Source organism: Homo sapiens, chromosome 9 (genome assembly GCF_000001405.40).
Source record: "Homo sapiens chromosome 9, GRCh38.p14 Primary Assembly".
NCBI classification, from domain to species: Eukaryota; Metazoa; Chordata; class Mammalia; order Primates; family Hominidae; genus Homo; species Homo sapiens.
The window spans coordinates 134982209-134984257 of NC_000009.12; the positions used below are offsets into that span (position 1 = coordinate 134982209).

The window sequence follows — 2049 nt, forward strand, 5'->3', positions numbered from 1 at the left end:
AGGATGGCGAGATAATGATCATTCCACGGGGAGGACGGACAGTGAGAGGATGGTGGTTATACAAGGAGGGCAGTAGGAGCTGCGTTTTCTTTTAAATTATCTAAATGTTTAAATTTATCTTTTTTAAAAAATTAAGAGAAATTATTTAAATGACAGGCAGCTGCTCAAAGATTCCACTGAAGTGGAAGGGTGCCCCCATCTTTACAGCAGAACGAAGGAATCCTGCACATCAGGGCTGGGTGGGCTGTGGCTGGAGAGTCAGGCTGGCTAGGCCAGGAGAGGCTCAGGATAGCCGTCCGCAGCCAGCACCCTCGTGCTGGTGCCTTGGACTGTGCGTCCTCACAAACAGCCGAATCCTGCCTTGTTCCTTTCCCAGGGCTGTTGTAGCAAAAGACCATGAATGAGGGGCCTTCAACCCCCAGGAATTCCTTCCCTTGCTGCCCAGAGGCCGGGAGCTCAACATCCAGGTCAGTGGGGCGTCACCCCAGTCTCTGCTGCCATCTTCCGCGTGTGTCTCCGGAACCCCCTTCCCCTCCTAAGGCCACCCCCCCTCAGTACAACCTCATCTCAACCTGACTACACCTGAAAGACCCTGTTTGCAAATGAGGTCTCTTTTGCAGGTATTGGGAACTAGGACTTCCCCATATCTTTCTGGGGGACAGAGTTCAACCCCACGACACCCACTAAATGCCTGTATTGCTCCTGTAGCCCCTGGAAAAGAGCCATGAACAAAACACACCCTGTTTGTCCTTGGGCAGCTTATGTTCTACCGAGGACACACAGTAAACACAGAGATGATCATTTGCTGAGAGGGACAGGCCAGGGTGAAGGGGCGACGAGTGGGCCGCACTTTGGACGTGCGGTGGAGAGATCCTGACGCTGGAACAGAGCCCTGCTGGAGTGGGGAAGGACAGCCACGCGAAGGCCCGAGGGGCAGTTTTCTCTGCGTGCACAGGAATAGCAGGCGCAAAGGACCCTGAGCACAGGGGGCGGGGGTGGGGACTGCACTTCACCCGGAGGAACTTGACCCATAGCTTTATGCAAGTCCAAGTGTGGCCTGAGGTCAGTTACCGCCACCTGCCGGCGGCTACCCACAGAGCCCGCAGGATCTGACCCGATTATCTGCCACTCGGCCCTTCCTGTCCCTCCCTAAATAAGGCACTCAGGTGGGCTGAATAACGGCTCCAAGTATGTCCACACCCTAAACCCAGAGCCTGTGAGTATGTTCCCTGGCATGGCAAAAGGGACCCTGCAGGTGGGATTAGGTGAAGAGCCCTGGGATGGGGGCTTATCCTGGATTATCTGGGTGGCCCCATGAGCCACAAGAGTCCTTATGAGAGGGAGGCAGGAGGGTCCAAGTCAGAAAGGATATGACCACAGAAGCAGAGGTCAACGCGAGAGTCGAAGATGCCACTGTCAACCTAAGCAACAGAGACAGCTCGTCCAGTGATGCTGAGTGTATCCAGGAGTGCATAGGCGGGGTTCCTGTCCTGGCTACGAGGGCTGTGGGGACCACAGGCATGTGCAAGGAGGTTGAGGCAAGGGGAAGCTTTTAAAGGCAAAGGGAGGCATGCACATAAGTTGTTTTGAAGCAAAGAGAACCCTGGTCACAGAGTCTTGTTGTGAGAGTTGACGTCAGTTCATGCCTGGAGATGGAGACAGCGTGTCAGGCAAGGGTTCTTGTGCATCCGACCAGCTGTCCCTGTGACTCAGATAGCAAGTGGCAGTTTGGAAAGTCCTTCGGAAAAGTTCTTGCTACAGGCATATGTAGATAAGAGCCCTTCAGAGAGCCTTTATGATAGTTCTTACCGCCGGCAGGTGTGTGGGGCAGGGAGGGCCCTTCTTAGCCTCTTGACTTTTTTTTTTTGTTAGGGTTTGACACAAGTGACTCTATTTTGATTCTGACAACTTTCACGTGATGTTCCCAGCTTTGAAGGTAGAGGAAGGGGCTACGAGCCAAGGAATGCAGGAGGCCTCTAGAAGCAGGAGAGGCAGGAAGGGGTTCTCCCCTGAAGCTTCCAGGAGGAGCCAGCCCCATTGGCACCTTGG

General features: G+C 54.0%; 2 annotated features.

Annotated features, from left to right (window-relative positions):
- Positions 280 to 870: an enhancer, noted in NCBI's record as "H3K4me1 hESC enhancer chr9:137874334-137874924 (GRCh37/hg19 assembly coordinates)". NCBI's record gives its function as "activates a minimal SCP1, AML or CMV promoter by ChIP-STARR-seq in naive H9 embryonic stem cells {active_cell/tissue: H9 hESC(naive)}" and the evidence as "EXISTENCE:reporter gene assay evidence [ECO:0000049][PMID:30033119]".
- Positions 871 to 1459: an enhancer, noted in NCBI's record as "H3K4me1 hESC enhancer chr9:137874925-137875513 (GRCh37/hg19 assembly coordinates)". NCBI's record gives its function as "activates a minimal SCP1, AML or CMV promoter by ChIP-STARR-seq in naive H9 embryonic stem cells {active_cell/tissue: H9 hESC(naive)}" and the evidence as "EXISTENCE:reporter gene assay evidence [ECO:0000049][PMID:30033119]".